At 42.5% G+C, this 23,320-nt stretch overlaps 1 protein-coding gene across 4 annotated transcripts, besides 3 other annotated features; it reads right to left on the reverse strand.

Annotated features, from left to right (window-relative positions):
• Positions 1-2,835: 2,835 nt before the first annotated feature.
• COMMD9 (COMM domain containing 9) lies at positions 2,836-19,968 on the reverse strand. 4 transcript variants are annotated; one of them, NM_001307937.2, is made up of 7 exons: positions 19,906-19,968; positions 17,365-17,389; positions 11,256-11,381; positions 9,021-9,160; positions 7,633-7,667; positions 6,681-6,784; positions 2,836-5,316 (listed from the first exon to the last, which is right to left on the reverse strand). In NM_001307937.2, exons 2-7 carry the CDS (start codon positions 17,386-17,388, stop codon positions 5,176-5,178), a joined length of 570 nt encoding a protein of 189 aa, NP_001294866.1. In that variant the 5' UTR covers position 17,389; positions 19,906-19,968; the 3' UTR covers positions 2,836-5,175. The 4 variants fall into 4 exon arrangements, with proteins under 4 accessions (NP_001294866.1, NP_054905.2, NP_001095123.1 ...); NM_014186.4 differs by lacking the exon at positions 17,365-17,389; NM_001101653.2 differs by lacking the exons at positions 11,256-11,381; positions 17,365-17,389.
• Positions 19,330-20,032: an enhancer, noted in NCBI's record as "H3K27ac-H3K4me1 hESC enhancer chr11:36310336-36311038 (GRCh37/hg19 assembly coordinates)". NCBI's record gives its function as "activates a minimal SCP1, AML or CMV promoter by ChIP-STARR-seq in primed H9 embryonic stem cells {active_cell/tissue: H9 hESC(primed)}" and the evidence as "EXISTENCE:reporter gene assay evidence [ECO:0000049][PMID:30033119]".
• Positions 19,330-20,118: a biological region, named in NCBI's record as "H3K27ac-H3K4me1 hESC enhancer GRCh37_chr11:36310336-36311038".
• Positions 19,869-20,118: an enhancer, noted in NCBI's record as "active region_4631". NCBI's record gives its function as "activates an Ori minimal core promoter by ATAC-STARR-seq in GM12878 lymphoblastoid cells {active_cell/tissue: GM12878}" and the evidence as "EXISTENCE:reporter gene assay evidence [ECO:0000049][PMID:35858748]".

Here is a 23,320-nt window from a genome sequence, read left to right on the forward strand (position 1 = left end):
CACCAGCATGCCCAGCTGATATTTGTATTTTATGTAGCGACAGAGTTTCACCATCTTGCCCAGGCCAGTCTCAAACGCTTGGCCTCAAGTGATCTGCCCGCCTTGGCCTCCCAAAGTGCTAGGATTGCAGGCGCAAGCCACTGCACCTGGCCACAATTCTTTTGAACAATTCTTCTTCCTTTTGCTTAAGCAAAAGAGGAATCTTTTGGTTCCAATGACAGGTGTCAGTAGTCATCAGAACTAATCACAAATATCCCACTTCTCTTCCATCCTGGCACATGGTAGGATTCAGCTTCTCTGCCCTTTCATGGTTAGGTGTGCCCATATGATTTGACTGTTACTTCTGGGCAGGAGCTTTAAGATCACAGGTGCAATTTGCCATAGTCCCTTTCCCTGCCTTGGTGATTGTGGAGGCATGTGTTGAGATGAAGCTTCCATCATCCTGGGCCCTTAGTGATTACAGTGAGCAGACTACCCGCCCTCCTCCTCCAACCTGCAGTGAATGTGCAGCATTGGCAAAGAAACTTTAGTTGTGTAAAAAGCCACTACAACCTTGGGATTGTTTGTTACTGCAGCATAACCTTGTATTGAGTATATGTTCTTATTTTCTGTATTCTTCATGCGCTAACATTTGGGTCCTTGATCCAAAGAGGTCACCCCATTCAGGGCTAGCAAATTCCTAGAGAGAGAGAGAGAGAGAGAGAGAGACACACGGGTCGGGGGCGGGGTGGCAAACAATTCTCCTGGGAGCGTGCCTTTGATGTACAAACCAGCTAATCTGGAGCCCACACTCCCAACCATCTTCTTCTTTTTAAAACCAAACTCTCACACACCAAGCCAATATTCTCTCTGCCCTAAGTCACCCTAGGGTCAGACAACTCGGGACCATCCCTATGGCCCTGAACCCATCCAAATTATTCAAACTATCCAACCCTAAACTTAGCCAGCATATGTACCTTGTCTTAACCATTCCTTCCTATGAAAACCCCAATAAAGGCTTGGGGCCATGCTCTCCCCTCTCCCTGCCTCCTGACCAACACTTATCCTTCCGAACCATGTGGCCCCGTGTGCCACACCTCCTGCTTCTAGAGCTCTATGAGCACAAACTTCTTCCTTCATGATAATCATTTCCACGTCTGTGTGCCTTATGTCTTACCATTCCTGATTAAAACAAATCCTGAGAACAACTGGCATAGGTAGCAGGGTGGTTTGATGCCAGATGGACATGGAATGTCCTTAGACTGATCTTGACTTGCTACCTGCTCCCGACAGACAGCAGCCACTGCTTGGCAAGGTACAGCTGAGAGTGGAGTGCTCGGGCTTCCTGCTTGATGGCTACTGCATTGTGTTGTGTTGTCAGGTGTTGCCGTTAATTCCCAACTTGAAATTGCGACGCTCGTTCGAGCAGCTGAGTCCCGGAGCTGCCTCATAGGCTGGTGTCATGTGTCTGGGACTAACCTATTTCTCCACGGTGGTGGAATGCCCAGGATTCAGGACAGAGTGCCTGGGGTTACATAAGTAATTGGCTATATTTTTTTCTCAAAAGGTCCCTCTGAAGGGGACCAGGAGTGACTGACTATCCTCCTCATGCCAAGGGCAAGTCTGATCCACTGACTGAGGAGCACTGACAACACTGGGGTCATCAGAGTCATTTAGATGAAAGTGCCTAGTGTCTAGGATGTGATAGCTCCTGAGGACACTCATAAACCACTTTCCCTTTTCCCTCTGGGCTTTGCTGAGTCAAATTTCAGCCTCTTCCTTGGAGTACTGCGAGAGCACTTGTCGGAACGCTTGCTCCTTGCTCGTGCATGTGTTGAGGGCCATTCATGGGATCAGTGTGAAGGGCTCCTCCAGGGATCACGGCATCCCACAGATGTTCAGATCACACACTTCTCTGCTGTTGTCTGATTGCTGCTGTCATGATTTATTTCCCAACCCAGGGGTAAATAAGAAGTCCCCTCCCTAGAGACGAGGGACTCAATGTTTAATGATCAACGGGAAGGAAAAAGAGCACCTGTTTCCAACTTCCCCAAAAGCCCCAGAGAGATGGTCCTTCCCCATGTGGCCCTACGTGGCATGCCATGCCTCCTGTTTCTAGGGTTCTGTGAGCACAGACTTCTTCCTCATGACAATCACCTCTGTGCCTGTGAGTCTTGCCATTCCTGATTAAAACAAATCCCGGGTACACCTTAACACAAGCCTGGTCCGTCCTGATGAATACATAAGGAGGAAGAGTGGGAATGGCATCAGGTACCAAGATTTTCTCATCTTCTTCCCAACCTCTGGGGTCTAGATGGCCTCTCCGACTGCAGATGAGCTTTCGGTGTGGCAGGAAGATGGACCTCATCATCACTGGCCTGGCTGTCAGAGCCTAGAGGCAGGAGGTGGTCTCAGAAATTACAGCAGAGAAAGCCCCAGGGACAGACTCAGATTGGCTGATTGGAATCATGAACATTCATGAGACAATCGCTGTGGCACATGCATTTGATCAGGATTGAGGCAGATGCTGACCCCTGTTGGTGGGTGGCTGGGTGGGATGTGTTGGGCAGCCAGCACAGGCACCAGTGAGATGGATCATTGTCCTTCTGTGGATGGAGTTTGGACATCCAAACCTTGCCACACCCTGAGGAAGGACAGTTTGTATACAGCTGCTTCATCACACAAAGTACTACTGGGAAACCAGACAAGCAGTGAATGAGCCAACTTCCTTTGAGATCAACAGATAAGAGCCAGGAGGCCCTTCTGAGATAGGGCCAGGCCAACCAGAAATACGGTATCTACAAACAATCCATCATCACTAACAGAGGAAAACAAATGCCTTAAATGATCACGAGGTGAAGGGTAGCAAAGATTTATTGACTTTTCCAGTTATTTATCAAATGCCCTCTGCGTCATGTACCCAGATGGCTCTATTCGGACAGATCTGGCTAGAGGAAATGTCCAACTGCCCAGACACCTATACTGGGCTTCTTGCTTCAAGTAAGTTTCTTATGGATGCCCATGGGAGGCCAAGAGGAAGGTATCTGACATCTCTCTCTGCAGGTCATGGGGAATGGAAGGAAAGGAGAGGGGTAAATTTGTGACAAATCTGAGCTCAACTGGAGGGTATGACCAGGGGCTCTCAACTTGGAAGTAGCGGGCTGGCTTCTGGGGTCCTTGACCTCTTGTCGTTGCATGCAAAAAATTGAATGTTCATTTCCTATAGCAGATAAAGAAGAGCTTGGAATTTTTTTTCCCTTGACCTTCCTCGTATCTCACTGGGTAGGCAGACGTAAGATCTCTCATCTCTACTTCAGTTTCAACATTTTCCAAATGGCGCTAGTCACAGAATTATATGTTCCTTGCAAAGTCCTGTGTTGTAAAGAGAAAGCTAGAGAAATATGGGTCCACCTCTTAATGAGACCATTTACCAGCAGATGACTCAATCTCAATGAGCTGGTTTCCTGGTCAATAAAGGGAGGATGATAATACTAATTCTCACACCAACTCTGTTATAGTAGATGAGACAATAAATGCACCAAGCTTTCTACTCTCATCCATTAATAATCAAAGCCTTTCCTATTAGTTGTAACAGTACTGTTTTTAGGTGCATTATATCATTTAATTTTCACAAAAGTCCTATCAAGTAGGTACTACTATTATACTCATTTAATTTAGGAAAAAAGTACAAAGTGGGTGAAAATTGAGATGTAGAAGTCAAGCACCTTACCACTGAGAAGCAGAGCTGGCTTCTGACCTTGGCTGCCTGACTCCTGACAGCATATTCTTAATCTGTGGATTTACCTCCTCCATTCACTCCATACACAAACTAGCAGAGAAGCTGCCAAAACAAAGCACTCCAAGAGCAGGCTGCAAGCTGTTGCCATGGAGATGATCTGGTGAGTGAAGGGGGAATCTTCACACATGGAGTCCCTGTGAGGCGTGAGGCACATGACAGAGATGATCTCATTTGGTTAAACTCGAAGGAGTGCCTTCATCATAGCTCTTGTAACAAGCACATACTGATGATTAGCCTTGCTTCCTTTTTATTTATTTTTATTTTTTGAGACGAGTCCTTCTCTGTCACCCAGACTGGAGTGCAGTGGCACGATCTCGGCTCACTGCAAGCTCTGCCTCCCAGGTTCACGCCATTCTCCTGCCTCAGCCTCCCGAGGAGCTGGGACTACAGATGCCCGCCACCGCGCCCAGCTAATTTTTTGTATTTTTAGTAGAGATGGGGTTTCACCATGGTCTCGATCTCCTGACCTCATGATCTGCCTGCCTCGGCCTCCCAAAGTGCTGGGATTACAGGCGTGAGCCATTGCGCCTGGCCACCTTGCTTCCTTTTGTTCTACGTAACAGGTGAAAACACAGAAAGTGGTGCGATTCAATTGCCTGATTTCATGTCACACCATGGGTCAAGGGCTTAGCTGGGAATTAGGAAGTTGGGATCATCTTTAAAAACTAGAGAAGGTACTGGCCAAAAGCTTCAACTTGGGGACAAAAGAAGCTACAAAAATCATGGAAGTTTTAGAACTGTTGTTTAGTTCCAATTATTCCCACTTCTTCACCTAGGAGTGGCTGCATTAGATGAAGGAAGAGGGCCCTGGTTTCATGAAGAAGGGAATTAGCACCCATTTCAGACTTCCTACACTGAAGAGGGGTTCCAGTATGGTGGAGGGGGCTCAGGGAACACTCTGGATGGACCATGCTCTGTGGGCTCTGCCTGGCTTCCCTGACAGAGGAGCAGGAACTGCTGGCATCACCTGTCCGATTCCCTCCATGTGTTCTGGGATTGGAAATGAACTAATTAGAGCTAATGTTGGAAATAAACTTACTTATTGGATAGGCTGCATGATTTGGGCCTGAATTTCTCAAACAGCTATGCAGAGGCAGCTGACGATGCAAATGTTCCCTCACCCTGCCATGGTGGTAATTAAGTTGCACTCAGGAGCTTTTCAAAGATGGGGGCTTCTGCTCTCCAGCTTCAGAAAGAGAAAGAAGATGAGTGAGAACAGCGGGGGATCTGGCTGCTTCTTCCCAATCCAACTGTAACTTCTGGATGGCAGTAGCCCCCTGCTGTCCCCACCATCCTGCCTGTTGTCAGCTGCAGCTGCAAGGGCAGCCTGCATATGGGGAGACATTTATCACTCATGAGCAGCTGGGTCATGGCAGTGGCCCTGGCAGCTGGCTGGATCATTTACTGGCCACGGCAGAGAGTTGGTCTCGGATGCGGCCCAGGCCATCTAACATGGTGTCCAGTGTTTCTTTGCTCAGCTCCACGGTGACAGCTGAGATGGAGGGTTTGTCTCCGCATAGGCTGGGATCTTCTTGGATCTGAAACGAGAACACAGCCCAGAAAGTCAAAGCTGCCTCTTTTCCCATATCCCTGTAAGTGAGCCCTGAACCTGCGAGGCTGAGCTCAGTTCTGCTGAACCTCTGAAGAGAGGCTCTTTCCTAAGCACTAGAGAGTACCAGCCCTTGGGTCATTTAGCAGTAAGGGAGAGTACAGGAGATACCTCAGAGGCCTGGGTCAGTCTCCATTTGCAACAAGTGCCTTGGGTAGGTATCAAAGAAGGCCAAGCCAAGGCTCACTCACCTCTCTGATACCCTAACTCTCAGCATTCAAGCAAGAAAACATTACGTGTGTTTACATTGGTACTTTAAGGAGCAGGTTCTGTTGGATACTTCAGACAATCCTGCATTGGGATGCAGGAACAATCTTACAACCTTTAGTTTTAAAAAATAAAGAAGTTAAGCTTCACTAATATTTAAAACTTAATTGCTAGAGGCACCCTTCTTCATTTTCTTACAAGTGGTAACTTTCTGGGTGTCTGGTTATGTAGATACAGCATTACATTTCTAGTTTTAACTAAACAAACACTACAATATGGATATGTAGCTTAAAAAGATTCCTGAAAATAACTATAAAATGAAGACAACACCAATGAAGCAAAGGTATGTGAGCAAGAAAATGAAGACCTGACACTTCTCCAGCTGCTAGTAGAAACTTTTTTTTTTTTTTTTGAGACGGAGTCTCACTCTTTCACCAGGTGGGAGTGCAGTGGTGTGATCTCGGCTCACTGCAATCTCCACCTCCTTGGTTCAAGCGATTCTCCTCCCTCAGCCTCCTGAGTAGCTGGGACTATAGGAGCCCGCCACCACGCCCGGCTTATTTTTGCATTTTTGGTAGAGATGCGGTTTCACCATGTTGGCAAGGATGGTCTTGATCTCTTGACCTCATGATCCACCCACCTCGGCCTCCCAAAGTGCTGGGATTACAGGCGTAAGCCACTGCTCCCAGCGACTAGTAGAAACTCTTGAGCAGCCACATTACAAATAATGACAGCCTAATCACTGGACAAGAAGTTGCTGAAGTACACTGAAATGATCGGGCAGGCTATTCAAAATCTGGAAGCACACTACTATTGTTAAAGCTAAACTGCTAAGAGTATAGGGTTACCTTTAGGTATCAGCAAATTATTTTAAAAATATGTTTTGTATTTGTTTTATTGTTTTAATATGTCCATAGTATGTTACTGCAGTAGTACACATACACGTTGTAACTAAACAAAGGAGGATAAAGGGGATGGTAATTTAAAAAAATATATGGGTTAGAGATCCCAAACCTTGGAGACTAGTGTTTTAGACGGCCATAGGGGTGCTGCCTCTTCTTTCTAATGGCATGATAGTGAATGTACCTTCATCTGGAGCAGGCAGGTGGGGACGGCCATGCGGCTGATGCTGTCTGAGGAGGTTTTGATATCCACTCTCCAGTCCAGATCGACCAGGCGTGGCAGAGAGACTGTGGAAGGAACAGCTCAGCTCAATGCTCATGCCGCCCGTGTTTACCAAGCATTTATTGTACGACAGGCGGCTCTGAGGACTGCACACATGCAATGCATTGGTCTATGCAGCAAGTCTCTGAGAAAGACAGATAAACAAAGCCCGAGACCCACAGCGAGTCATGTGCCTTACCCATTGCTCTGTGCTGCCTGCACTTGGTACTAATTCACAGTGGCAGCGTATCCAGGCTTCTACCTGAACACCCAGCCCTCCAGATGTTAGGGCAGAATGAGAAGTGACATAAAGCAGAGAAGAAATCATGGCCTGAGCCTTAGGAAATGTGTAGCTTCAGCAATAGTGGTAAGAGCTCTTGTTTTAGAGATAAATGGACTTGACTTGAATACAGGTGCTACCACTTATCTAACCTCTGAGCTTCTGTTTGCTCATCAGCCTAGCTCACAGGGCTGAAGGGAGGACTAAATGACTTGAGCAGATTAACTGCTCCAGCACTGTGGCTGGCTCAGAGTTACTGTAATGACCATTTATTAAACATGGACTTTCATTCAGCCTTTCAAACTATTTTTGATTATTGTTAATTTTTTTCACAATTGAAATACCATTATTTTAAGTACTTCACTTTCTGCTTTGGATATTTCTGTTTTTTAACAACATGCCTATATAATAATGTTTATAATCAGAAAAAAGTTAAAAAGTAGAATTAGGGAAAAAACCCACCATACACAGAGTATGGGTTGAGACTAGAATGGTTCACTTTGGTTTCTGCCAAAATCTCTGATCACTTGGCAGACTGAGAGCTGGGGCTGGGGAGACAAGTAAGAAGGGAGGGGCAGATTTATTGGTACTCACTCTGATTTGCCTGGGCTTCGGTTCTCCAAGTAGACCTGTTTAAGAGGGAAAGATGAGGAAAAAATAATGGAAAGGGGATGAGACTGACTCTTCTGATAGAGAGGGGAACTGGCCCTTCCTGTGATCTTCAGACCTGTCATCACCTGCTAACAGGAAAGGACCACAGAAACCCCTCCCTCCAAGAAAGTCTTTTGTTTATTTGTTTTACAAAGCTCAGTGATGTTAAGGCCCTAAGTGTTGTCAGTTTTCATAGTTCAGGACAAAAAAGAAGAAAATACAATGTATTGTAATCTTATTGTGCTATTGTTCTTTTGTGCTTTTGTTCAAAGACAAAACAGAAAAAAAGGTCAACTTATCTTCTCTTTATTGAGCACCTACTGCATACACAAATATTGCATCTTCTGCAAAAACACATCCAAACAGACCTGACTAATGCTACAACAAACATAATAAAATGTGATCATGTATGAGAAAGTTCTTAAAATACAATAAAACCCTTGGTAAATAGGCATTATCAGTTATTGCTATTAGAGAGGTCTGTTCAAGCCTTCTGCTAACCAATAGTTAATCAATTCTGCTTAAAATGTACGTGTTTAAAAGGAACTTCCCAGCCAAGAAAATATACAGATACTTCACAAAAGAAAAAAAAAGATCAATTAAACATATGAAAAAGATATCTGACATCACTAGTGTCAAAGATAGGGACACTGAAATGAGGTACCATTTGCCATTGTGGAACTGGGAAAAATGTAAGAAAAAAATCCCCTCAGTGAAGGCGTAGGGAGAGGGGTACACTTGTATCCTACTACTGTGGAAAAATACTGCAATATTTCTAATGGCCAACTTGAACATTTAAGGCCAAACCCTCAAAATGTCCATTACCTTTAACCCAGTAAAAAAATAATTAAGCACAGGAGCAAAGTTTTCATTGTAAATTGTTCACTGAAATGAAAAAATGCCAACAGCCTCAGTGTCCAACACTAAGAAATTTTAAAATTATACATCATTTCTTCCTATAACAGGATATGTTTAACCATTACAATGATATTGAAGGTAAACATTGACGTGAAATTTCACTATCGTTAATACTGTTAACAGAAAATAAGCAAGTTACAAAACAGCATGATCCATTTTGTAAAAACAAAAACAAAACATCAACCTCTTACAGAGGTGTAAAGAGGAAAAAAAAAACATGTTTTAAAAGGCTTTCCATTAAGAAAAGACTACCACTAACATCTGGCTGGTGGAATTACAGGTGTCTTATTTTCTTTTTGCTTATCCGGGCTTCCTAAGTTTTCAACAATGAGCATATTACTACTTCTAGAATGAGAATAAAAATAATAAGAAATGTAAAAGTTAGAAGGGACTTTCAAGAAATGAGCACTTACACATGTTCTAGGATGATCTTTGTCAGCAGGTTTTTGAGGTTTTGGTGGAAATTTTCTGGAAAGAGAGCCAGAATTGCCTCGGCAGAGGACAGGTCACGGAATGCCACCAGCCTAGTGAGGCGGTGCAGAGCCTGGAGCAGCTGCAAGATAAACGGAACCACCTGTAGCTGTAACAGAAGCAGCAGGCAGGGGGCACAAGGCAGGGCCAGGGGCAGGGCTCTACACCCCGAAGGCTGCACACTGCTATGGTCATTCAACTGAGTCACAAGTCCAGAGGCCTCTGTGGCACATGCTCATGCCCCACATGCCTTGGCCTGCCTCGGAGTTCACCTGTTGCTTTAGAAGACAGATGCAGCTCCCTGACCTAGGAAGCTGACAGCTTGTCAGAAACTCTCCACTTGTGGACAAAGAGTTAATATAGCCCTTTTCCTTCTGCATGAGAATCTGACCTTCAGTTAACTTTCTGGTGCTGTTTCCCTGGTAACCTGAGAGCAGTGCAAAGTCAGCTGTGTTACTAAGCAACACTGCATTGGTCCAAGGCTCTGGACTGAGAGGACTGCATAAATACCTGGGGTGCCGGTAGCTCTGGACTTGCCTATGTGTGGCTACAGGCTCCTTTCGAGAACCTGAAGCTGTGCTTACTGAACCGTGACACAAGATACCGGCTCCTGTGGAGTGAGGGTCTTGAATCCAGGGTGGTAGGATTCATGTCCTTTCCTCTCAACTGGTTGCCTAGGAGGGCAAAGAGAACAAACAGCTCCTGGCCGGCTGTGCGGGTTCCTCCTGGGAAGAGGCATGTCTGCCCGTCCTGCTAAAATGCTGTGTTCCCATCCTAGGTCCTTCTAAGTGAATCTGTAACTTTGAAGTGTAAGAGGGGTTTATGGTGGTCTTGTGAATAGAGTAATACTTAGCTAACCTAAAAAAGCTCTCTGGAGGTAACTGTTTCTCTGCTTTAGGGCTTTCTCTGATATCACTGCAGATTACCTGACACAACCCGGAAGTGAAGGGAAGTTAACCTTCCACCAGTGAGAGTGGGTGTTCATGGATAAATGGCCAAGCCTCTCTGTTCTCCCGGGGAACAATTCTGAGAGGTGTTCTACTTGGTTTCTTACAGGATCCCAAGTTTTCCATAGCAGTAATTGCTCTTAACATCCTCTTTCATTGACTTGCCTTCCCTGTTTGATTTTCCCCACTGCTTTGTGTTTTCTAGAATCATCTCCCAAATAATCTACTTTGGGGGGGAACCCAAAATAAGTCTCCAAATCACTTCCAAAATCTTGCTTTTTCCTTTTCCTTTTCTACAGCTCACTTCAATAAACAAGGTCCAGAATTAAAACAAAAAACATAGGCCAGGTGCAGTGGCTCATGCCTGTAATCCCAGCACTTTGGGAGGCTGAGGTGGGTGGATTGCTTGAGCTCAGGAGTTCAAGACCAGCCTGGGCAACATGGCAAAACCCTGTCTCTACAAAAAATACAAAAATTAGCCAGGCATCGTGGCATATGCTTGCAGTCCCAGCTACTCGTGGAGCTGAGGTGGGAGGACTGCCTGAGCCTGGGGCATCGAGGCTGCAGTGAGCCATGTCCATGCCACTGCCCTCCAGCCTGGGTAACAAAATGAGACCCTGTCTCAAAAATAAAAAAAATCCAAAAACATAGGCCCATTTAGATGAAGAAAGTGCTGTTTTAAAAACATATTTGCCTTGGAAAGATAAGGCTGTCACTGCTACATAATAACTTACCACAAGTTACCTTAATCTCCCTCTTGGCTACCTGCTGAGATCAGGTGAGCTGAGGAGAAGGGGACCTTCTGTGGGACAGAGGGGTGAGGAGGGAGTGAGATACACAAAGCACCCCTCAGGAAGCCTGATGGAATCTAGCAGTGCCTACTCCTGAATCTTATGCAGGCCTCAAACCTTCTGTTCAAAGATCCCTGAAAAGTCTGCCCTAAGCTATCCAGCTAACAATTTATGAGCATCAGCAAGTTATAGGTTGGAAAAGAAAATCACAGAAAGGTTGGCTTTTGTTCCACATTGTCTAGGTAATAGGTCTGAAAGAAAATGGTCAGGAGCTCTGATTCTGGGTACAGTTCTCCCATTCATGTCCCATTTATAAAAGTTTGCTACAGTGTCAACAGATGTTTCAAGGGATTTTCCTTGGACATGGCAATGACTGGGAAGTCAAGAAAGAGACTAATAAGAGGGCCAGTGGCCAAAGATCATTTCTGACCACACTTACTTCCTCTGCCTCCTCCTGGGTCACAGACAAGCTGGAACATGTAACATCCAAGAGTTTTTTCAAGCCAAGGGCTGAACTGGAAAAGCTTTCTTGACACAGCTGTCTGACAACATCTTTCGAGGAGGCCTATGAATTAAATCACAGATAGGAAAAAAAAAAACTCAGACTCTGAAAACACATGTTTTGAGTAATAATGTCTTTGTCATACATGATACCTTTGAGACTTAAATTTTAAAGGTACATAAGACTTTGGATTCTAGGAAGATCAAATAGATGTACTTTTCCCTAATCTTGCTGCTAAGTACAACCAAAAACTTTGGACATATACAGAAAACATACATAAGACTCTGGAAGCAGGAGAGGAGGCAGATCTGCTAGGGACCTCATAATACAAGGAATGACACAGTGGTGAGTTCCCTGGATTTTTTTTGCTTCATATATCCCAGACTTTCAGCTGAAGAAGAGGGCAACAGGAAATGACAATGGATGCAGAGGGGGGAAAAACGCTACAATAAATAGCTCTTCTGTCTAGCTAAAGGACCAACAAAGAGGCAGCCTTGCAAGACAGAAAAGTTTTAGATGACAACTGCTACACTCCAGCCAAATATCATAGAAAAACTGCAGCCCCACCCACCTCTATGTCAACAAAGGCTGAGTGGGAGGCCTAGACCTGAGTAAGAAGACTTGTGAGGCTATAATGAGGTACCCCAACATTCCTGCTGGGGAGGTGTCAGAGAAGGCCAAGTAGGAAGCTGGGACCTTTATCCCCACCAGCTGGTAACAAGCCTCATCATTCTGTGATACCAGTGGAGACCACGTGGAGTCAGAGATTCCACCCTTACCCAGTGGTAACAAGGAACCTCTGCTTTCAGGTATCAACAGATGCCAAGTGGGGAACCTGGACTTCAACTTCCACCTGATAGTAATGAGGTGGCACCCCCTTCCCCTGCCTAAGCAGTGCCACAGAAAGCCAGCTAAAACATAAAATTTAAATAAAATCCATTCTCAGAACATAATATGAAAATGTCCAGGTTTTCACTGAAAATCATTCATTAAACCAAGAACCAGAAAGATCTCAAACTGAATGAAAAAAGGTAATCAATAGATGTCAACACCAAGATGACAGATGTTAAAATTATCTGACAAAGAATTTTAAGTAGCCAGATAAATATGCTTCAACAAATAATTATGAACTCGCTTGAAACAATTTTTAAAATCGCCTCCTCAGCCAAGAAATAGAAGATATACAGAACAACAAAATGGAAATTTTAGAACTGAAAAATAAAATAACCAAAATAAAAAGCTCAGTAGATGGGCTCAGCACCAAAATGGAAAGAATAGAGGAAAGAATTAGTGAACCAGAAGACAGAGAAGTAGAAATTACCCACTCAGAAAAGCAGAAAAAAGAGAAAAAACTATGAACAGAGCCTCAGGGACATGCGGGACTATAACGAAAAACCTAACATTTGTATCATTGGAGTCCTGGAAGGAGATGATAGAAGAGGGCAAGACTGAAAGAATATTCAAAGAAATAATAGCTCAAAACTTCTCAAGTTTACTTAGAGACATACTCCTATATATTTCAAGAACCTGAGTGAACCCTAGACAGGATAAATCCAAAGAAATTCATACCCAGACATATAATTGAACTTCGAAAATGAAAGACAAAGAAAAAAATATTTAAAGCAGAGAAAAATGACACCTTACCTATTTAAAAAAAACAATTAGAATGAAAGCAGATTTCATATCAAAAACCATGGAAGCAAGAAAGAAGTGACAATATTTTTCAGGTGCTGAAAGGGAAAAAAAAACTGTCAACCTGGAATCCTACACCCAGCAAAAATATCCTTCAGGAATGAAGAAGAAATCGAGACATTCTCAGTTGAAGAAAAACTAAGAATATCTGTCACAAGACCTGCCGTAAAAGAATGGTTAAAATAAATTATCTAAACAGATATGAAACAATGAAACAAGAAACCATGGAACACCAGTGTACTAGCCAGAGCTCTCCAGAGAGACGAAACCAACAGGGTATGTAAGAGGGGATTTATTAGGGGGAAATGGGTCACATGATCACAGAGGCAAAGTCCCACAATAGGCCGTCTGCAAGCTGGAGGATCAGAGAAGCTGGCAGCTTGGCTCAGTCAAAGTCTGGCAACACCTCAGAACCAGGGAAGCTGATGGTACAGCCCCTAGCTTGAGGCCAAAAGACTGAGAGCCACTGGGAGGCCACTGGTGCAAGTCCCAGAGTCCAAAAAATGAAGAACCCAGAGTCTGATGTCCAAGGGTAAGAGGAGAAAAGGCATCTTGCTTTAGAAGGAAGGGAGAGAACAGAGAGAAAGGGAATCCCCCATCTTCCACCTGTTTGGCCCAGTTGGGTCCCCAGCCAATGGGATGGTACCTGCCCACATTGAGGGCAGGTCTTCCTGTCTTTGTCCACTGACTCACACATCAATTGTCTCTGGCAACACCCTCACACACTCAGAAACAACGCTTCACCAACCATCTAGGCATCCCTCAATCAAGTCAACACCTAAAATAAACCATCACAATCAGGAAGACAGAACAGGGCAAACAAAAACATGGATAAATACTGTAGGCTCTCTTTCTTTTCTTGAGTTTTCTATTATGTTTGAAGGCTGAAGCAAAAAATATAATATATCTGATGTGGCTCTAAACGTATATAGAGGAAATATTTAAGACAATTATAAATGAGGGAAGATAAAGAGGTATAAAGGGACGTAAAGTTTCTATACTTCGCCCTAACTGGTAAAATGATGACACCAATAGACTGTGATAAGTTACGTATATAGAATGTAGTAATTAGGGCAACCACTAAAAAGGCTATAAAAAGAAATGCACTTTAAAACATTACAGATAAACCAAAATAGGATTCTAAAAAAATGTTAACCTATGGGAAGGCAGGAAAAAGTAAAATGAAAGAAAAATCAAGAGAGAACAGGCAGAAAACAAAAATAAAACAGTAGACTTAACGCCCTAACATACAAATAATTATACTAAATGTAAATGGTCTAAGTGTACCAATTAAAAGACAAAAATTGGCAGAGTGGATTAAAAATATGACTCAAATGCTATCTATAAGAAACTCTTGGCCAGGCGTGGTGGCTCAGGCTTGTAATCCCACCACTTTGCAAGGCCACGGCAGGTGGATAGCTTGAGCCCAAACGTTTAAGACCAGGCTGGGCAACATGGTAAAATCTCTTCTCTACAAAAAAATATAAAAATTAGCCAGGCATGGTGGCACTTGCCTGTAGCAGCAGCTACTCAGGAGGCTGAGGCGGGAAGATTGCTTAAGCCTGGGAAGTAAAGGCTGCGGTGAGCCGAGATTGCACCACTGCACTCCAGCCTGGGTGACAGAGCGAGACCCTGTCTCAACAACAACAACAACAACAACAACAACAACAACAACAAATCTCCCTTCAAATATAAGACATAAGGCAGGTTGAAAGTAAAAGAATGAAAAAAGATATATTATGCAAACATTAATCAGAGGAAAGTAAGAGTGGCTAAATTAATAATAGATAAAGTAAACTTCACTGGCAAAGAAAATTACCAGAGACAGAGAGGGACATTAATAATGAAAGATTTTATCCACCAGGAAGATGTCCTAAATGTGTATGTACCCAACAACAGAATTGGAAAATATGTGAAGCAAAAACTATCAGAACTGTAAGAAGAAACAGACCAAATGACAAATACAGCTGAGGACTTCAACACTCCTCTTTCAACAACTGACATAACTAAACAGATATTCAACAAGGATATAGAAGGAACTAACAATACCATCAATCAATTAAATTAATATTCATGAAACAATACCCAGTAACAGCAGAATACAAATTCATTTCAAGTGTCCACTGAACACATACCCAGACATATCATATTCTGGGCCATAAAACAAACTTCATCAAATTCAAAAGAAGTGAAGTAATGAAGAGTGTGTTCTATGTGACCACAATGGAATCAAACTAGAAAGCAATAGCAGAAAGGTAACAGAAAAATATCTGAACACTTATAAACTTAAACAGTACACTTCTAAATAATCCATATGTCAAATGGGAAGTCTCAGGGATATTTTAAAAATTACACTGAATAAGTGAAAATGAAAACACACCATATCAACATTTGTGGTACACAGCCTAGCAAGTGGTGAGATGAAATTTTATAGTATTAAATGCATATACTAGAAAAGAGGAAAAGTCTCAAATCAATAATCTAAGCTCCCACCTCAAGAACCTATAAACAGGAAAGCATAATAAACCCAAAGGAAGCAGTGGAAGTAACAATGATAAGAGCAGAAACCAATGAAATTGAAAATAGAGAAATCGATGAAAGAAACAGCTGGTTCTTTGACAATGTCAATAAAAATCGACAAACCTTTAGCAAGACAGACAAAGTTAAGAGGGGAGACACAAATTATCAGTATTAGGAATGAAATAGAGGATATTATCACAGATCCTGCAGACATCAAAAGGATAATGGGAACTTAATGAAAAATTCTATAAACATAAATTTGATAATTTAAATAAAATGGGCCAATTCCTCAAATAACACAAACTACTTCCACTCCCCTAATATGAAATTGATCATCTGAATAGTCCTATGACTATTAAGAAAATTAAATTCACAATTTTAAGGCTCCTAAAAAAGTCTCTAGACCCAGATAGTTTAACTGGAGAATTCTAGCAAACATTTAAAAAAAGAATGAACTGATTCTACACAATCTCCACTAGAAAAACAGAAGATGATGGAGTACTCTCTAAATGATTTTATATAGCTACAAAGCTAGTATTACCCTGATACCAAAACCGCACAAAATTGTACAGAAAAATGAGAAAACTACAGACCAATATCCCTCATAAAAATAGATGCGAAAATTCTTAGAAAATAATGGCAAATAGAGATCAGTTATATATATGTATAATATTTTATTAGCAAATAGAGACATATAATTATATATAATTATACAATATGACCAGGTGGGATTTATTCCACAGATGCAAGGCTGGTTCAGTATTTGCAAATCTATGTAATCCATCACATTAACAAAGAAAATCACATGATATAAATCAATGCAGAGAAAGCATTTGATAAAATTAAACATCCATTATTGATAAAAGCCCTGAGAAAAATAGGAATAGAAGAGAACTTCCTTATCTTGATAAACAGTATCTACAAAAAACCTACAGTGAACATTATACTTAATGGTGAAAGACTGAATGCTTTGCCCCCAAAACTGAGAACAAGGCAAGATATCTGCTTTCTCCACTCTGAATCAACACAGTGCTGAAAATTCTAGCCACTAAAATAAGGCAAGGAAAGGAAATAAAATGTGTGCAGATCAGAAAGGAAGAAATAAAACTGTCTCTATTTGTAAATAACATGATTTTCCATGTAGAACATTCCAAGAAATATACCAAAAACTCCTAGAAACAATGAGTTTAGCAAGTTTGCATGTAGAAGATAAACATACATAAATCAGTTGTATTTCTATTTATTAACAATGAACATGTGGACACTAAAATTAAAAATACGGGCTGGGCATGGTGGCTCACATCTATAATCCCAGCACTTTGGGAGGCCAAGGCTGGTGGATCACTTGTGGCCAGGAGTTCAAGACCAGCCTGGCCAACGTGGGGAAACCCTGTCTCTACTAAAAATACAAAAAAAAAAAAAAAAAAGAAAGAAAGAAAGAAAGAAAGAAAAGAAAAAAAAAATCAGCCTGGAGGGGTGGTGGGCACCTGTAGTCCTAGCTACTTGGTAGACTGAGGCATGAGAATCCCTTGAACCCAGGAGGTGGAAGTTGCAGTGAGCTGAGATCATGCCACTGAACTGTAGCCTGGGCCACAGAGCGAGACTCTCTCAAAACAAACAAACAAACAAACAAACCAAAAAAAACCAAAACCATTTGCAATTGCTCAAAAAATGAAATACAGGATGTGCATGCTGAAAACTACACAGTACAACACTGTTGGACAATCATTACATGGAATACCACTCAGCAATAAAAAGGAAAGAACTATTGATACACACAACATGGATGAAAATTAGGCTGAGTGAAAAAAGTCAATCTCAGAAGGTTACTTACTGTATTATTCCATTTATACGGCATTCTTGAAATGACAAAATTAGAGAAATGAATAACGCCAAAGGTTAAGGAGAGTGTGGCTATTCATGAGGAATCTTTGTGGTGGTGGAAATGTTTTGTATTTTGACTGTCAATATCAATACTTTTGACATTAGGTATTGACATCCATTTATCCTTTACCCAATTTCCCCTATGCAGAACCATACATAATAGTAAGTATGCTATATATGTATACTACATACTATGTATATCGCGTAGTATGTATACTACATACTATGTATATCGCGTAGTATGTATACTACATACTATGTATATCGCGTAGTATGTATACTACATACTATGTATATCGCGTAGTATGTATACTACATACTATGTATATCGCGTAGTATGTATACTACATACTATGTATATCGCGTAGTATGTATACTACATACTATGTATATCGCGTAGTATGTATACTACATACTATGTATATCGCGTAGTATGTATACTACATACTATGTATATCGCGTAGTATGTATACTACATACTATGTATATCGCGTAGTATGTATACTACATACTATGTATATCGCGTAGTATGTATACTACATACTATGTATATCGTGTAGTATGTATACTCTATATTATATACATACTATACATAATAGTATATATACTATATTATGTATAGTTCCGCAGAATCCTGCAGAACTGAGGGAAACTGAGTAAAGGATAAATGGGATCTCTCTATATTATTTCTTACAACTACATATGGATTTATAATTATCTCATAATAAAAAGTCTAAGTATTTTTTTAAAAAAAGAAAAGAAAGTACACAGGACAGTAGCAATGAAAATCAATGAACTACTGCTACATAATGGTGAGCAAAAGAAGCCAGGCATAAAAAAAAAGTATATGCTGTATTATTCCATTTATGTTAAGTTCAAACATGGGCAATATTAAATGAATTGTATCAGAAGCAAACATAGAGGTTACCATTGGGGAAGAAAGTGAGGAAGCAAAGAAAGGGCGAAAGGGGGACTTCTGGGGTACTGGTAACATTTCATTTTTTGACTTTGGTGGTGGTTACATTGGTGTGTAATAAATCATTTAACTGTAAATGTATGGTTTATGCACTTTTCTGTATGTATACTACACACTAATCTTTTAAAGTTTTTAAAAGAAAAGAGTGCATAAGACCAACAGGTATAGGGGCGGGGGTAGGTACAGAGCAGCCAAAATGAAGGTGAAAAGGCACTGGGTTGGGAGCTGAGAGCCCTAGATTGCCAGTCCCAGCTCTGTTACTTCATTTATTAATTCATTTAACAGCTATTTACTGAGCACGTGCTGTGTGCCAGGTATTATTGTTCTACTTATTGGGCATTAACACTTGTGAACAAAAGAGTAGATCCCCTTAGGAGTGGAGAATGCTAATGAACACTGAGAAGGCAATTAAAAAATAAATAAGTAAAACAAAACAGAGACTATTACATGGACCGATGATGATGATGTGCCATAAATTGAGGAGAGTAACTCAACCCTCTTCACCTGGTGTTTAAAAAAAAAAAAAAAGAGAGAGGAAGAAAGGAAAGGTCCCTGATGGATCTTACATTCTTATGAGACAGACGGACAACGGGCAAATAGCTAGCGACAAGTTCTACGAAGGAAAATAAAGCTGCCCTTTCTCCTACAGGGCAAATCATAAGTTAAATAATTCCGGCCAGGCGCGGTGGCTCACGCCTGTAATCCCAACACTTTGGAAGGCGGAGGCGAGTGGATCACGCGGTCAGGAGTTCAAGACCAGCCTGGCCAAGATGTTGAAACCCCGTCTCTACTAAAAATACATAAATTTGCCAGGCTTGGTGGCGGGCGCCTGTAATCCCAGCTACTCGGAAGGCTGAGGCATAGAATTGCTTGAACTCGGGGGGCGGAGGTTGCAGTGAGCCGAGATTGCGCCACTGCTCTCCAGCCTGGACAACAGAGCTAGACTCCGTCTCAAATAATAATAATACTTCATTTGAGCTTTACAAAGCCCTATGAAGTAGGTCCCTTTCAACCTCACAACTTTTCAAATGATTATCAGGAGTATGTCCTGCCCCTTTCGCAGGTCAAAGAGAGTAGGGAAAATCTGGACCTCAAGGGAACATTGAACGCACAGGTCATTCGGAGGGCTGGGCAGACGCAGTAGGAGATAATTTCTTAATTGTGCAATGCAGGAGGGGCTACGGGATGAAATGGGGAACTGACAACGTGGGTCTAGCAATTACCACTTCAATGCACCAATACCGAAAACCAATCCCAAAGACTAATAGCAGGAGGTTGTACTGCGCCTTCATGCCCATTATTTTATTTTTTTTTATCTTACGTTCCTGTCAAAACGATATTTTGTTCTTACTTTTTAAAAGCTCAGAAAGACGCAACGATTTGCCTGGGATCACACAGAGAACAAGCAGCAGAGTTGTGGCTCCAAACCAGGGTCAATTTGTTCCCAATTCCTGCTCCGTCTAAAGTCTCGGAGACAAAGGGCCACCTCACGCTGTCCCCACCCCTTCGACTTACCTTGAGCAGGCTCTGGAGTGCTGCAAAATGCTCCGCTGTCAGGGCAGCCATCTTGCCGAAGTCACATGACCGTGGCACCCAGGGAAGCGAGGTCACGTGGCTGTCGCTGTTGTCGCGGGGCCTGCCGGGGGCTGTAGTCCTTCAGAGTGGGGGAAGGCGTTTCGGTTGTGGTGCTGCGGCAGTGAGCGCGGATCAAGACGGACGCGGCGGCTGGATGACTAAACCCCGAGACTCTAGAACCAAAGGACTAGGGGGACCAGGGCGGAGGATGGTTTACTCGGGGAGGAAATTGGCTTGACTTGTCTACTTACCAAGTCAGGGAAACAGGTTTTCCCTTGACCCATGTGGGTGGGCTGGCGCACTTGGGGAATGCACCTGCAAGCTTGGCAGGCGCCTTGGAAACGTAGTTGTTCAGGAGTGATCGGCGTACCAGTGTTTGGAATGAAAATGAGGCTGTGCATATCGGGCTTCTTGGAATTGACACACACACATGCACACATCCTGTCTTGAATGTAAAATTACTTCTGCGTATATAGTTTTTCAGCCTATGTAGTAGGTTGGAGCTGGTATTATTAGTATTATCCAGATTGGGAAATAATCATTTAGGGTTTTTAGTAACTTTCCCATAGTCATAGAGAAGATCTGATTACAAGAGCAGGTGAGGAAGTGTTTGGGAGAGGGGACAAGAGAGGAATGGAATGAAAGCTACTACCTAGCTAGGTTCTTGTTATACGGGGGTGAGATGGGGGAGGAGGTTAATGGAAATGATTTAGTTCATTTATTCAAAAAGGTAATTATAATGAATATAATTGTAAAGAGTGATTTTGCACTGGCAGTACTGGACTCTGATTTGCCCTGTTCTCAGAGACCGTACATCAAAACAGACATTTCCTTTATCTACCTTTAGTATTTGGGTGGCTCTTTTCTTTTCCTACCCTCCACTTTTTTTTAAGCAAATTCCAGCTCAAAAAATGGGTTCTGATATATTCGAGCTTAAGAAAGAATGCCCATTTGTGAAATTCCAGAAATTGGTAAGCTGCTAAGGACATTTGTTCCTTTGTCTCCTCTCCTCCCCCTTCCCCTTCCCCGACTCCATTTTCTGTGGGGATGTTGTCAAGGCCCAGGAAACCAAAAATCAAATTGTCTAAGGAGGAACCCATTCCTGGATTAGAAGATTTTAGAACCATTTTGTCACAGGGTCCTGATTCTAGCTCTCTTTCTTGGCCTCTCTTTTCCATGAACCCTCATGGCCTGATTCCTGGTTTCTGTTATAACTCAATGTAGGTTCTAGGTTTAACTCCTGCCTGTATCTATAGGGCTGGGCCCATTGTCTTGGGTTAATTGAATATTTGTTAAATAAACAACCACCCAAAAAAGTGATTAGACTAAGATGAAATTTTGTGACTTATTTGAGGATATTGCCTTGGTATTTGCAGGATTGTGCCTTCTTGTCTTACTTTAGAGTAATGAGGAGTGTGGTCACCAGCCTTCAAGATGGCCCTCAATGATCCCAGCCTCCTGGTGTTCACAACCTAGTGTAGACACCTCCCACCATGTACCAGGATTGGTATGCATGACCAATAGCAAATGGTGGGTGTGAATGGCATATCACTTCTGAGATTAGGTTATACAAGACTGCACCAAAAAACTAACAAAAAGACTGAAGTTCCTGTCTCCTGGCTTGGGTGCTCTCTCATGTGCCCTGCTCTCTTTCACTTGAATCCTTTGCTCTGGGGAAAGCAAACTGCCATGTTGTAAACAGTCCTACAGAGAGGCCTAGGTGACAAGGAACTGAAGCATCTGGCCAACAACTTCATTACTGACCTGAGAAGCAGATTGTCTAGGCCCAGTAGAGCCTTAAGAAGGCAGGAGTCTTGGCCAACAGCTTAACTGCAACCTCATGAGAGATTCTGAGCCAGCACCACCCAGCGAAGCCACGCCTGGATTTCTGGCCTTCAAACACTATTAAGATTATCAATGTTTGTTGTTTTAAGCTATGAAGCTTTGAAGTAATTTGTTATACAGCAATAGTAACTAATGCATGGTGGCAGCAAAGCATAGGGGTTTTAGAATTCAACCTGAGTTGGAATCCTAATTCTACACATTATTAACTTTTCCGTGTACAAATTCTTGAACTTCTCTGGGCCTCAGTTTCCACCTCTGTAAAATGGTGTTCATCACACCCATCTAGTTCAGAGAGCAGAGCTGAGCGACAGGAGCTGCTTCAGTGGGAGGATTCCCAGCTCTCCTTACTCTCGCGGGCTGGTATGATATGAATGGCACCATGTCATCCCATTTTGGTAGGGCTGCCCAGATTGCCAATGCCATGTTGCATGTAAAGGTTTGTCTGTGGTCTGCAGAATGTCCAGCAATTTCTAAACCATAAACATTTTCATGGGTGGGAACAAAACAGAATGTCGGAGTTCATTTCTGTGATTTGGTCCCATTGCCTGGTTTTCATTAGGCCAAACCTAATTTCTTTCCAATTCTGAATATAGGAATCAGTGCTGACTTTCATTTATTTAATAAACTTGTTATGTGCCCGGCTCTGTTCTAAGCCCTTACATTTACTGATTAATTTACTTCCCATTCCTATCCTATGATATTATATATATACGTATGTATATACATACACACACATATGTACACACACACATAAGTACATATACATATATAAGCACACACACTGTATTGTTTCCATTTTACATATGGAGAAACAGACATAGGCAGATTAAGTAGTCTGAGGTCACACAGCTAAGTAGTGGCAAAGCCCAGATTCAAATATGGCCAGTCTGGCTCCAGATTCTGCACTGTTAACCGCCAAGCTGTACATGTCTCCTTGTTGTCCCACAGCTGTAAATTTGTGTTTCTTCTCTTTGCATGTCTGACTACCTTCCTCAGGCAGCAAGAACAATCTAAGAGTGTTCCTGTACAATCAGTCTGGTGATGGTGAGAAACAATATAATGAGTGAGTGGAAGGGCTACCTTGGGCTTTGGGAAAAGACCTAGGTTCAGTTTCCAACTCCTGTGTACTGTTAGCAAATTACTTCCCCTCTTGGAACCTCAATTTCATCATCCGTAAAATGGGAACAATAATAAAAATACCTTTTGGCCATTAGGGGGAGCTCAAGGATGACTTATACCCCAAAAGGGGAAGGATTGCTTATGTGGATTCTCAGTTCTAGTCATTGGCAACGCTAAAGGGCAGAGCTTTCCCCTGTTGTGGGCAAGGGTTTGCACGAGGGGGACTGGCCATCCCAGTTTTCCCAGGGATGAGGGGTTTCCTTGGATGCAGGACTTTCAGGGCTAGCGCTGGGACAGTTCTGGACAAACCAGGCCAGTTAGTCACCCAAGTTTGAGCCCTGAGCCTTGGGGGAAACCAGCCTTTTGGAACACTTGCCCTGATTTCTCCAGT

The sequence above is a fragment of the Homo sapiens genome, chromosome 11 (genome assembly GCF_000001405.40).
Source record: "Homo sapiens chromosome 11, GRCh38.p14 Primary Assembly".
Taxonomy (NCBI): domain Eukaryota; kingdom Metazoa; phylum Chordata; class Mammalia; order Primates; family Hominidae; genus Homo; species Homo sapiens.